A 14,741-nucleotide genomic window follows, 5' to 3' on the forward strand; every position below is an offset into this window, starting at 1 on the left:
AATTTCAGTTTCCTAAAAAAACAGATATAATGAATACCAGCCTATTGGAGTTGCTATGGCAATGAAAAGAAATCATTTATACAACACATGTGTCATGGTAGAATCTGGTTAATAAAGGTGACCAAAATGTTAGCTATCACTTTGAGTGCTATTGTTATACTTGGTAGCTAGTCGGGTATGAGCAGGGCAGGAAAGGGCTCCCATACCTCACACCAGGAGTGTTGGGAGACCATCAGGTGATGGTCAGGTGGTTGTTAACTGTCTCTCTGAAGTAATAATTGGTCACAGCTGGCGCCAGGGAACGGCGGTCTCCTAGTAGATAGAAAACACCTAAAACTGGTGACGAGCGGCTTCTCAATAAGATCTCAGGAGTTGGGCAAGTGGTCAGAAGTAGTGCAAGACCCTGGAGGTATGCCATCATATAAAAACCTCAAGTCAAAAGGTCAAGCCATACACTTGTCTTTCAAGTCACCTGCTTGGCCCTCTTCCAAGTGTACTTTCCTTTCTTTTGTTCCTGCTCTAAAGCTTTTAAGTAAACTTTCACTCCTGCTCTAAAACTTGCCTCAGTCTCTCCTTCTGCCTTATGCTTCCTCAGTTGAATTCTTTCTTCTGAAGAGGCAGATACTGAGGTTGCTGCAGACCCATATGAATTTGCCATGGGTAACACTATCACACTGTATATTAGACTCCTTCCCCGCCTTTTTTGGAGGCAAAGTCTCGCTATGATGTCCAGGGTGGAGTTCAGGGGCTATTCACAAATGCAATCATAGCATACTGTGGCCTTGAACTCCTGGCTTCAAGCAATCCTCCCACTTAAGCCTCCCAAGTTGCTGGGACTCCAGGTGCATGCCACTGAGCCTGGCTAGACTTCTTAATTTCATTGGAAAACAGTTGACCCTTAAACAGTGTGGAGGTATGGGGTACCTATCCCCTGCACAGTGGAAAAATCTACATATAACTTTTGATTCCCCAAAAGCTTAACTACTAATGCTGTTGACCGGGAGCTTCATCGATAACAAAAAGTCGATTAACACATAAATAGACTAGTATCTATATATATGTTATGCACTCATAATACACATTTTTTTCTATTTTTTTGATATTTCTAGGCTACAAAGTTCACCCAAGAGTTTTTTCAAATTGTCACAAATCTCCAAACTTTCTAATATATTTATTGAACAAATGAATATATAAGTGGACCAGCACAGTTCAAACATTGTTCAAGGGTCAACTGTATGTATTTTCATGACTAGCAATTTATGGTGATGGTATAGTCACCTGATATAAAAACAAATTTCACAGAATTTAATTATTTTAAAATCAAAATGTATGCCAACCAGAAAAAAATATCTAAATTCTTTGAAAGCTATGCAGCATGCTACAATTTGGTCTTTCAAAGTTGCAGTCCAAAATCATCAGATGGCCAAGTAACAGAGTCATCCAAGGGGAACATCACATACCAGGACTTGTCAGGGGGTGGGGGGGATAGGGGAGGGATAACATTAGGAGAAATACCTAATGTAGGTGATGGGTTGATGGGTGCAACAAACCACCAGGGCACGTGTATACCTATGTAACAAAACTGCACTCTCTGCACATGTAACCTAGAACTTGAAGTATAACAATAAAACAAAAAGTTTTCTTACACATCAGAACTCCTGAGATAATTTATGAGCTTGAAATATAAATAGGATGTTTACCTTCTTTATCTTACCTCTAATAGGCCATCCTCTGGCAGATCAGTACAGTGAACAGCATTCTGGATCTTAGTTTTACCAAAGATTGCTCTGAGAGTTCCAGGGCGTAAATGCCGGGCAATTTCCTATTAAACATACATTCACATATAGATTAATGTTAGTCATATGGTATAAATAAGAAAAACACTAGCTATATGAAACGCTAACTTATTTATGAAATACATGTTATATATAGACAGTGCTTATAAGGGTTTTTCTGTGGCCCAATGTAAAGTCTGCTTTCATCTACATCGGGGAAAAATAATAATTGCATTTCTTTTTATCAATAGATTATGGGAATCACACAAAATGTGAAGCTAGTTCATTACTGTGAAAGACTTGTATTTTATAAAGACAGTAGAGATCTTAACAACTTTGATTTAAAATGAACCAATTTGATGCTATTGATTTCAAAAGCTTTTAAAAAAATGTTAGCTGTATCAACTTAATGGTAGTTCATCTTTAAGAGAAAAAATATGGTCACAAATAGCCCTGAATTTAATGAGGGTTAGAGAGAGGCAAGGGAATGATAATGATGTACAAAAAAATTTAAATTGAGAAAGACAGGAAGAGAGGACCTAGGGGATAAAGAGGTAATTGACAATGAAAAGGTGGATCAATGAATTTGAGCTCCTAGTGGTATGGGATAATTATTGAGATCTGTATGTTAGAAGAAGAGAGCTGGAAAGTTAAAAGATACTCGAGACTGAGATTACTGTGGGTGGGAGGAGAGGGGGCTATAGTGATTGATAATGATCAGTTTTAAGGCATAACCATGGATAAGGTTAGTCTGAGGGCAAGAATGTTAGAAGAAAGAAGAACAACAGATTGAGAGGCCAAGGTCGTAAGTGGGTCACCTCTATGAAAGTGGAAATCAGAAAGAATCATGACAGGTGTAGCTTAGGGTGCAAAGATTCTGAGCAGCACTCACATTTGTGGTTCCATCACTTAAGGATGTTTTAAAGACATGCATTTATTTAATTACTTAAGTTTTATTTGCCAGGGTTCCATCAAATGTCAGCTATAAATGTATTATGTTTAGGAAAAACATTTTGATAAAGTAGAAAATAAGGATGTCTTTATATTTTATTTCATATTTATTACTTTCATTCTGTTCTCCGTAATTTTTCTAGCAAGTAAGTATCCAATATTAAAAACCTACTCAGCTGCGCGTGGTGGCCCACACCTGTAATCCCAACACTTTCAGAGGTAGAGGTGAGTGAATCATTTGTGGTCAGGAGTTCGAGACCAGCCTGGCTAACATGGTGAAGCCCTGTCTCAACATGGTGAAACCCTGTCTCTACAAAAATTAGCTGGGCATGGTGGTGCGTGCCTGTAATACCAGATATTTAGGAGGCTCAGGCAGGAGAATCACCTGAACCTGGGAGATGGAGGTTGCAGTGAGCCGAGACTGTGCATTGCACTCCAGCCTGGACGACAGATCAGACTCCATCTCAGAAAACAAGCAGAAGCCTTACTCTGCTTATATAGTGGGAAGCTGTCATTTTGTGACATAAGATGTAATTTATGAAATTGTGAAAAGTGAGTACTAACGTTCTTTTTCTTATTTCCGGTCAGGGAAAAAAACACTTTTAAATTACTCAGTTCCAGTAAACTGTTTTATTAGAACCTATTCTCTATCAAATTTTGTTTGATGGCCAGGCTCATACCTATAATCGGCACTTTGGGAGGAGTTTGAGAGCAGCCTTGGCAACACAGAGAGACCCCGTTGCTACAAAAAATACAAAAATTAGCCAGGTGTAGTGGTGCACGCCTGTAGTCCCAGCTACTTGGGAGGCTGTGTGGGAGGATGGCTTGAGCCTGTGAGGTCGAGGCTGCAGTGAGCCAAAATGACACCACTGCACTCCAGCCTGGGTTGTCAGACAGAGTAGGACCCTGTCTCAAAAAAAGAAAATTTTATTTAACTTGCACTACATTCATTAAAAGATTACTTTCATATAAGTGTCTGCTACATGCACAGCACTTGAAATCTGAAGAGGTTCATGTGTGTTGGCCTAGCGCGGTGGATCATGCCTGTAATCCCAGCACTTTGGGAGGCCGAGGCGGGTGGATCACCTGAGGTCAGGAGTTAGAGACCAGCCTGATCAACATGGTGAAACCCTGTTTCTACTAAAAATACAAAAATTAGCAGGGCATGGTGGCACGCACCTGTAGTCTCAGCTACTTGGGGGGCTGAGGCAGAAGAATGGCTTGAACCCGGCGGTGCGGAGGTTGCAGTGAGCCGAGATCACGCCACTGCACTCCAGCCTGGGTGAAAGAGCGAGATTCCATCTCAAAAACAACAACAACAACAAAAATGGTTGGTAATTCCTGGCTGTTTTTTTTTTTTTCTTTTTTTTTATGAGTTCTCTATTTGCTTGTCATAGATGCCAGGGACATGCTGCTAGATGAGGTATTCTGGTTGCCTTCCTTTCAGAAGGGGGTGCTACCATTTTTCCTGAGTGTTATTAGCTGCCTTCCCATTGCTCTGCCTCTTTAGCTCAAGCCCCACATTCAGTGCCTTAGGCTGTGGCTAAAAGTATCAACTGCCTTCTGCTCAATGTAAGCAAGCAAATGTGAAGGCGCTGATTTACTCTGCTGCTCTTCATGCAGCCCTCCAACTAACCACCCTGCTTAAGGCCCCATGCCCTTCCTCAGCCTTGCATCCATATGTCTGATGTGCAGCCCACCCAGTACCCCTACCCCTTCTGGAGCAGTTCTCTCCTGCACGTTTTAGAGTGTTGGTTTTCCTCAACGATACAATCCTATCTGCTTTGAGTCTTTTGAAGTTTATGGCCTGTAACAAAACTAAAAAAAAACAAAAAAAAAACAAACCCACAAAAACAAAAACATACGTGTGTGTGTGTGTGTGTGTGTGTGTGTGTGTATGTGTATGTGTGTACTCTTCCTTGTTTTCCAGCATCACTGGAGATTTACTCTTTAAAACAACACACAGTGAAACAGTATCTCCTGTAAATTCCTGTAAGGACTTGGTAAGCAAGGGGATGATGGGCACATATGGTCTTCTGCCATCTTCATGACACTTCATCTTACTGACATTCTCTATTTCTCCAACACAACAAACCATCTTTAGTTCATTTTTCATGCTGCTATAATTTTGTACCTAAATGCCAATACGATCATGTTATTTACTTGCTCAAAAAATCTTTGAAGGCTCATAATTGCCTATGGCCAAATGTCTAAACTCCCCAGTGTGGCATTCAAGGTCCTCCCCATTCTTGCCTAAATCTACCTCACTCACACCTGCCTTGAAAGCTTACACATCCCAGTGAAAACACTGTTTCCTCTATAAAAGCAAATTAAGCCTTCCCAATCAGAGTAATCCTTGCTTCTTCAATGTTCCTACAGTAGTTTACACTTCCAATATAGGCCTTCTTGACTTGCAATTTATATAGTTGTTTTGTGAGCCTATTTTAGTAAGATCCCATTAGATTTCAATCCCTGAACACAATATAAAACTTCCCTTATATTCTGTATCTTACTAATGAACACACAGTAAATGTTTGGTAAATATTTGTTGACTGATATAAAATGACAGTACTTCTATTCAGAGTGTCAGGATGGAGTAGCAAATAAGGGTGGGGGCTGTGGAAAAAGGCTCTCTGGATTTGAATTTTGCCTCTGCCACTTAACAGTTGTGTGACCACACCACATTATTTAACCTCTCTATGCCTGCTTTAATGTTCTTATTTGTAAGACAAGGATAAAATAGAATCTGTCTTAAGGAGATTAAGACAATTCTTAAAGAGACAGAAAGGTATGTTTTGACAAATATCAAAGATAATCTAACCAAATATTATATTATCTTTAAATAAATATATAACATCTCTTAAGAGTTGTAATCGTCATAGTTTTAGAATAAAGGTATAAGTTTAGATTAGATCATAAGCTAATTATGACCTATTATTATCCATTAATAAACCTCAGAAAACATGAAGTATTTTTACTGATATAAAATGTTTTATTTAGGTAAATGATAACAATGAAACTTAAAGATATAAAACAATAGGTATTTTCTTCATATCTGCTCTTAAAATCTAGGCTTTCATGTTAGATCCTCTTTAAAAAAGGTATTGATAAATTAATTTTAGTTTTGATTAGTATAAAATATCACATATGCTTATAAAGTAAAAAATATTGAAATACTAAAAAATACAAAAATATTAAAAAATACTAAAAGTGAGAGTGAAATAATAACAGCACTTCCCCCCTCCATTTCCTGATGGATTGTCCCTAATTTTTTCTAACAGATTTACATTCCTCTTGCTGCTTAAACTCTGGTGAAGACCATACTACCACGCATAGTTCCCCTCCCTTCAAGGAGCAGAAGCAATTATGAGATCATAAAAGCAACACAAAGTACCAACATATAATTTCATCTAATACCATAAATAATTCTTAAAAAGTTATTGCAGTATTTATAAATAACAGGTTATGCTGAGAAAATCAGACTCATTAAAGAGCGATACTTATTTGTACTTGGAGGGTCAGCAGTCTTTCAAATTCCACAAAATTCCAGGCATATTCATCCTCCCCTAAAACCTTGCATGCTGAGTCCCATCAAGTCAAATTCTTGGCTATGTTACAGCTCATCATAAGTACTAAAAATTCTGCTCAGGTAATCCTGCTGTGGGAGGAAGAATTCTGACTTATAGAATGACTTCTAAATCTAAGATATCAAAAAAATGCACCAAATATAGAATAGTGATTGGCAAAATACTGAAAATAAAGAAGGGAATATTTATTTAATTATTCTATGGCTGTGTTATTGTAAAGAATGTCACTGTTTATTGAATAGGTCTATCAGATTGATAAAATATGTCTGGACAAAGAATAACTTACTTCCATAATAAAGCCACTCAGTTTCAGTTCTCCACAACACAGAAGAGATATGTAAGAATTGAAAATGCCCTTCTATTTAAGAAACAAATTAAACTAGAAAAAGATTTATGAAATTTACTAATTACAGAAAAAGATCAACTGTAGAATATATTCAGATACAGTCATGCATTGCTTAACAACAGAGATATAGTCTAAGAAATGCATCATTAGGTGATTTCCTCATTGTGTGAACATCATAGAGTGTACTTACACAAACCTAGATGATATAGCCTACTACACATCTAGGCTATATAATTTGCTACTAGGCTATAAACTTGTATAGCATGTTGCTATACTGAATATTGTAGGCAACTGTAACACAATGATAAATATTTGTGTATCTACACATATCTAAACAGAAAAGGTACAGTAAAAATATGGTAAAAAATGATGTAGACCTATAGAGGGCACTTACCATGAATGGAGCTTGTAGGACTAGCAGTTGCTCTAGGTGAGTCCGTGAGTGAGTGGTGAGTGAGTGTGAGGGCCTAGGACATTACTGTATACTACTGCAGACTTTATAAAACACTGTACACTTGGGCTACACTAAATTTATAAAAATATTTTTATTTCTTCAATAGTAAATTAACCTTAGCTTACTGTAACTATTTCACTTTATAAACTTCTAAGTATTTTTTAACTTTTTTTGACTCTTTTGTAATAACACAGCTTAAAACACAAACACATTGTACAGCTGTACAAAAATCTTTTCTTTCTTTACATCATTATTCTATAAGCTTTTTCTATTTTTTAAGTTTTTTTTCTTTTGAAACCTTTCTGTTAAAAAGGAAGACACAAACACATGCATTAGCCTAGGCTTATGCAGGGTCAGAATCATCAAAATCACTGTCTTCCACCTCCATATCTTGTCCCACTGGAAGGTCTTTAGGGACAATAACACACATAGAGCTGTCATCTCCTCTGATAAAATGCCTTGTTCTGGAATACCTCCTGAAGGACCTGCCTCAGGCTCTTTTACAGTTAACTTTTTTTCTAATAAGTAGAAAAAGTATACTCTAAAACAACGATAAAAAGTATAGTAAATATGTAAACCAGTAACATAGTCATTTATTATCATTATCAAGTATTATGTACTATACATAATTTTATGTAGTATACTTTAATACAAGTGGCAGCACAGTAGGTTTATTTATGCCAACATCACCACAAACACGTGAGTAATGCATTGTGTGACTATCTCACAACAGCAATTTTTCAGCTCCATTATAATCTTATGGGATCAGCATCCTATATGCAGTCAGGTGTTGATGGAAATATTGTTATGCAGTGCATGACTGTAATGAGTAGCATATGGTGGTTTATCACGAGGTCACTAGTCTAATTCCAGGAAAATCTAAGTACAAGGAAAAAAATATTCTCTGGACTACAGGATAACTATGTTAGCAGTGATATACATATATGGATAAACATTAAAAGAGGAGCTAGTATAGCTCAAGTCCTAGTAACCCTAAAACAGCTGTGAAACAATGTTACAATCATTGTCCTCCTTTCACAGGCAATGAGGGTAATAAAACTTAATATCAAATGCCAGTGAGGGGACCACTATAACTAAAACAGCAAATATTTTCATTTCTATCCATTACTAGTATTCTTCTGCAACAAGTCTTGTAATACTAAACAGCACATGCTAAGTGCTCTCTTGACTCCTCCGGCACTTCAAAAATATCTTACCAAAACTGACCCATCAAACAGCTTTTCCCAGTAGTATGCAACTTTGTACTAATACAGTTATGCAGTTTTATATTCCTGGGAGATAAGCAATGTCAGATGAATTCAAACTAAAATGAGATAATGAAAGATGGGGAAGGAATTGGAAGTAGAAAAGGAAGCCAGGGAGAGACCCAGAGGCTACTTTCTGCTAAGTCTAAGGATCCTTCTAGAACCTATGCATAGGCTTTAGAAAGAGTAATTGCAAAATTAAACTCAACTACTTATTTATATAATACTAATCTCATTGAGTGAGCCACCTGCAGGTTCACAGTAAATACACTTATTGGCACTGGAAAATACATAAATTGTTTGTATATGAGGAATCACTAAAACATCAGGCTTGTGGACTCTGACAGGCTTCACATCTCACTTTTCATTAGATAAAAAATAGCTGTAATGTAAATTTATAGAACCTGAAGAGGGTCACAATTAAATGTTATTTCAGGTGAAATATTTAGATAATTCAATCCTGTCTTTTTCATTAGGTTTCAATAGACCACATGGCATCGTAACTATTGCCTCTTACTGATCTGTTTGCTGTTTCAGCCAACAATAGGAACTGGCTGAAGTGAAAATGAAGTCTTATTTGACACAGGTGTTACTTTTAAAAGTAAAAATTATGATCTCTTGGTTCTTTTTTAAAAGAATTGGGCATTCTTCAGAAGGATGAGCTCAACTAAAAAAGAAGAGTCAGAAAAATCTCTTAACTCACTTTTATATAAATTACTTAGTATTTTAGCAAAAACTACAAAGATTCACATATACAACTAAAATTTAAGAACATAAACATTAGCATAGAGGATTGGGTTTTTTGGTAAATATTTTCCTATTTCTTTTTTTCTAAATACATTTTAAGACATTTAACCTTTAATGTATACTCACATTACTACTAAAAAATTTAAGAGGCATTCTTTTATTTTAACACCCTGGACCTGAAAGCAAGAGAGGCATTCTTAATATCTCCCCGCAAAAGAATCGTTCCACATTCTACTCCATCCCTATAACATAATTACTATCCAGTCTTGCTTTACTATTTTAAAGAATCCTACAATTCAATGCTCAGAAACTTCCTCAAAGGAATAAAATAATGAAATAGCTGGGACCCACTCTTGGCACTTCTAACATCCAATTCTTGGCAAATCCTGTCAATACAACTACTAATATATACCCTGTATCAGTCGGCTTCTATATCCACTCTAGCACCATATTCTCCTGCCTAGAATATTGGGCTTTTAGATTTTATACTTGCTGGTCTATCTGGTTTCCTAGATACCTCTACTCCTAGTAAACATATTGTCCAAAAAGCAGTTAGAATAAGCTTTAAAAAAACATAAGTTGAATCATACCACTTTCCTGCCGAAGAATCTCTGATGCTTTCATTAAGAGAAAATGCAAAATTCTTGGGCTGGGTGTGGTGGCTCATCCCTATAACCCCAGCACTTTGGGAGGCTAAGGTGGAAGGATCATTTGAGGCCAGGTGTTCAAGATCATCGTGGCCAACACAGCAAGACCCTGTCTCTTAAAGAAAAACTTCTCAACATAACCTATAGTCCTGCATGCTCTGGCTCCTGCTTAACTCTCCAACCCCACCTGAAATGAACTAGTCACATCAACCCCTTCCAACTTTTCAAACTAGTCACATCAACCCCTTCCAACTTTTCAAAGGCACCAAGCTCTTTCCTACCTCAAGCATGAAAACACACAGTATTTCCCTTGGCTCAGCAATTCTCTTTTTTTGTTTTTTGTTTTTTTTGAGACAGAGTCTAGCTCTGTCGCCCAGGCTGGAGTGCAGTGGCGTGATCGCGGCTCACTGCAAGCTCCGCCTCCCAGGTTCACACCATTCTCCTGCCTCAGCCTCCTGAGCAGCTAGGACTACAGGCGCCCGCCACCACACCCAGCTAATTTTTTTTTGTATTTTTAGTAGAGACGAGGTTTCACCGTGTTAGCCAGGATGGTCTTGATCTCCTAACCTCAGGATCTGCCCGCCTCGGCCTCCCAAAGTGCTGGGATTACAGGCGTGAGCCACCGTGCCCAGCCTCTCCTCTTTCTTAATAATTGCCTTACAAATGGCTTACAATAAGCAACAGAAATCAGATGTGATCGATTCTACAGAGTGACTCTCTCAACTCTTTATTCTATCCTCCTTCTAGATGGAAATTAGAAATCTAAAAACTACATTCCCCAGACACATTTTTGGCTAGAATTCTTGCGATGTGGAAGTCCTAAATGAGATTTGGAAGACAGGACAAAGCAGAAGCTACCTTCTTGCTAATGTTGCTACAGGCAGACAAGGTAGGAGACACAAGTGTTTGAGTTGTGGCAGACTCAATGCCTAAGTCACTGCCATGGTAGTAGCAGTGGAGGCAGCAGCAACTTCAGGATTCTAGGTATGGGAAGGTACTCTTGAAATCAATAGCTCCAGTGGCAACTCCTGACTTAAGGCCCTGCAACACTTAAGAAACTTAAGTTCGTAAATAGCTACTTCCTTGAATCGAACTCCTTTAAAAAACATCCCTAAGCTGGTTTCTGTTTCTTGAGCTGAACTCTCAGTGATATTCTGAGGCTCCATCTTTCTTCCTCATCTCTACAGAAAGCTGTTTTCCCTGTTCCCACTTAGTAAGTACCTTTTTGCTATCTGGTTTTCAGCTTTACTGCTCTATTGAAATTGCTCCCTCCAAAGTCACCTATAATCAATTAGACTTCTAGCTGAAACCTCTTCTTTTTTTTTTTTTTTTTTGAGACAGAGTCTTGCTCTGTCACCCAGGCTGGAGTGCAGTGGCACAATCTCAGCTCACTGCAACCTCCACCTCGTGGGTTGAAACAATTCTCCTGCCTCAGTCTCCTGAGTAGCTGGGATTACAGGCATGTGCCACCACACCCGGCTAATTTTTGTATTTTTAGTAGAGATGGGGTTTCACCATGTTGGCCAAACTGGTCTCAAACTCCTGACTTCAGATAATCTGCCCACCTCGGCCTCCCAAGGTGCTGGGATTACAGGCATGAGCCACCGCACCTGGCCTAAAACCTCTTGTATAGCAGTGAAGTTATAAAAGTACCATCAGAAATAATGGATCTAATACATGTGGCCAAAAAACATATGAAATAAAGCTCAGCATCACTGATCATTAGAGAAATGCAAATCAAAACCACAATGTGATACCATCTCACACCAGTCAGAATGGCTATTATTAAAAAGTCAAAAAACAACAGATGCTGGTGAGGTTGCAGAGAAATAGGAATGCTTTTACACTGTTGGTGGGAATGTAAATTAGTTCAACCATTGTGGAAGACAGTGTGGTGATTCCTCAAAGACCTAGAGGCAGAAATACCGTTTGACCCAGCAATCCCATTACTGGGTATATACTCAAAGGAATATAAACTGTTCTATTATAAAGACATATGCACCTGTATGTTCATTGCAACACTATTCACAATAGCAAAGACATAGAATCAACCTAAATGCCCATCAATTATAGACTGGATAAAGAAAATGTACATATACACCATGGAATACTATGCAGCCATAAAAAGGAACAAGATCATGTCCATTGCAGAAACATGGATGGAGCTGGAGGCCATTATCCTTAGCAAACTAACGCAGGAATAGAAAATCAAATACCCGCATGTTCTCATTTATAAGTGAGAGCTAAATGATGAAAACACAGGGACACATGGAGGGGAGGAGGGGAGCAACACACACTGGGGCCTGTCAGAGGACCAGGGGTGGGAGGAGGGAGAAGATCAGGAAGAATAGCTAGTGGATGCTGGATTTAATTCCTGGGTGGTGGGATGATCTGTGCAGCAAACCACCACGGAACACATTTACCCATGTAACATGAACATTTACCCCTGAACTTAAAATAAAAGTTGGAAAAAAAAAAAAAGGCATGTCAGTCAAAGAAAGAAACAATGGGTCTAACAAACTGATCTTAGTACAGTTATATCCAATTTATAAAATAACATAGAGATTTTATAAAATTTAGGTTTATTTGTCCTAGAGTAGCAACATTAGTCTCAGCAGTTAGTAGAAAGATTTTGGTGCCTTTAAAGGCCTAGCTTCAGCGTTATCTGGCTGAATTAATTAAGATAATGCCCATAAAATGTCTAATGGTGTCTGGCCAAACTGGAGGCATTTAGTAGATATAATCATTGTCTTCATAGTATTATAAATAAACTCATAGCTAACAATGAGGCACTTATATAGTACTTGTGTTTTTAAAAGCATGTACTATTTCACAGGAATCCCACAAATCCCCTTGTCAGCACAATTGCTGACGAGGCAGACAGTTTTTGCCTTTTACAGATATGGGTAACTTGGTTCTACGGACAGTCTCAGACCTCCTATCCAGCAATGAAGAAAGAGTATATCCAAAGATCCAACCACTTGGGGCAAACTCTCTTTAAAGGTTAATTTCCTAAACTGCCGCATGTCTTCTATGATTCCCTTTAAAGTTGCAGTAAGCAGCTAAGATTCCAGACCAAGGTGAGCATTTTTTGAAACCATCTAATCTTCTCCTATAATTACCAATAGCAATGTTGTCAAAAAGAAATGTAATGTGAGCCACCTATGTAATTTAAAATTGTCTAGTGGCCACATTAATAAGAAGTGAAATTAATTTTAACAAAATAATTTATTTAACCCTATATATTCAAAATACTATTTCAGTAGGTAATTAATAAAAATTATTAATGAGCTTTTTTACATTCTTAATTTATGCTAAATTTTCAAGTCCTGGGTGTGTATTTTGTGTATAATACATCTCAGTTAGAACCAGCCATGTTTCAGGTGCTGGAGAGCTATATGTGGCTAATGGCCATCATATTGGACAGTAGAGACCTAGAGAATAGTAGCTCTCTCCCAGGACCGAGGTTTAACTTCTGAGCAACATTCTACATTAAGGGCTGAGCCAAGACTAATAATATCTGCAGTATTAACCTCTCTCATGCTAATGGAAACCTTGAACATAAGCTTGAGGGCAGTCAATCTAACCATATTTCTCATGCTGCCATCCTAGGCTATAATCCTATCTATTTATCTATCTATCTATCTATCTATCTATCTATCTATCATCTATCTACCTACCTATCTATAATTTATCATGTCTGTTGCCCACTTATCCTCCACAGCTGGCATTGCCAATGTTCGTCATTATCCTCAAGGCTCCATCCTCAATTACATGTTTTCTCTCAGCAACTTTGTTTCCTGCTTCACAGAAAAAAAAATTAAGACTGATATCAAGAGATTCAGCTCCCTCAAATTCCTACACACACACACACACACACACACACACACACACACATATATACACACACATTATCCTTCCCTTCCCCCTTTCCATTCAGTGCCAAAGAAAGTGCCATTTCTTCTTCTTTTGATAATTAACCCTCCCATCTCTTTGCAACTCTAGGTCAGGAAACTTCCTTCATTATAATTACCTTTCGCCTGTGTTTTCAACCTTTCTCTTTTCAAGTTTATTTTATGCATCCTATCAAAATGCTCATGTCTCTCCCATCACTTAACAAATAGACAATTTTAATTACTGTCCTACCTCTTCCCCTCCTTTTTAGAAGTCTTAATAAGCTCCACTTTCATTTACTCTTCAGCCTTTTGCCTCACAACACTATCTAAACCGCTTTGGCAAAGGACACTGATATTCTCCTAATTGCCCATAGATTCTCTCAATTTGTGACTTGTCTTCAGCATTTATTACTCTGGACCATTCCATTATTCCTGAAGCCCTCCATTTACTCAGCCCACATGATACCACAGTCCAGGATCTCCTCCTGACTGTTCCTCTCAGGCTCCTTTATTTCCACCTTCCTACTGCCTAGGGTCCACTCCATATTCTCCTCTTATCTTCTGGCTCTCCCTGGGCAATTTCATTCACTACTATCATATATCTTTAGACGACTCTTTAACTACTGCCCAGTTCTCTTTTCTGAGTTGCAGGCTGGACTATACAACTGCCTAATGCTCACTGCAGCCTTGAACTCCTGGGCTCAAGTGACCTTCCTGCCTCAGCTTCCAGAGTAGCTCGGACTACAGGTGCATGCCACCACAACTAGCTAATTTAAAAAAAAAAAAAAACAACTCTGTAGAGATAAAGTCTTGCTGTATTAACCAGGCTAGTCTTGAAGTCCTGGCCTCAGAGATCTCCTGCCTTGGCCTCCCAAAGTGCTGGGATTACAGGCATGAGCTATAATGTGCCTGGCCCCCACAGGGCTCTTATACTCAGCTTGCACAAAACTAACCTCATTGTCTTCCTCCCAAAACTCCCCCTCTTCCTAAATTCCCTCTCGTCATAAATGGCACCACTCTTACACCAAGTTACCTAGGCCAACAGCTTGGGAGTCATCCTAAGACTCCTCTCT

General features: G+C 38.3%; 1 protein-coding gene across 3 annotated transcripts in view; it reads right to left on the minus strand.

The window, feature by feature from the left end:
• Positions 1-14,741, minus strand: part of NME7 (NME/NM23 family member 7) — a 235,267-nt gene that overhangs the window by 35,202 nt on the left and 185,324 nt on the right. For all 3 annotated transcript variants that reach the window (NR_104229.2, NM_197972.3, NM_013330.5), the window contains one exon: positions 1,715-1,822. Coding sequence is in view for 2 of the 3 variants with exons in the window: in NM_197972.3 (NP_932076.1) it covers positions 1,715-1,822 (108 nt within the window). In the remaining variant the exon portion in view is untranslated. The remainder of the gene's footprint in view (positions 1-1,714; positions 1,823-14,741) is intronic.

The sequence above is a fragment of the Homo sapiens genome, chromosome 1 (genome assembly GCF_000001405.40).
Source record: "Homo sapiens chromosome 1, GRCh38.p14 Primary Assembly".
Taxonomy (NCBI): Eukaryota; Metazoa; Chordata; class Mammalia; order Primates; family Hominidae; genus Homo; species Homo sapiens.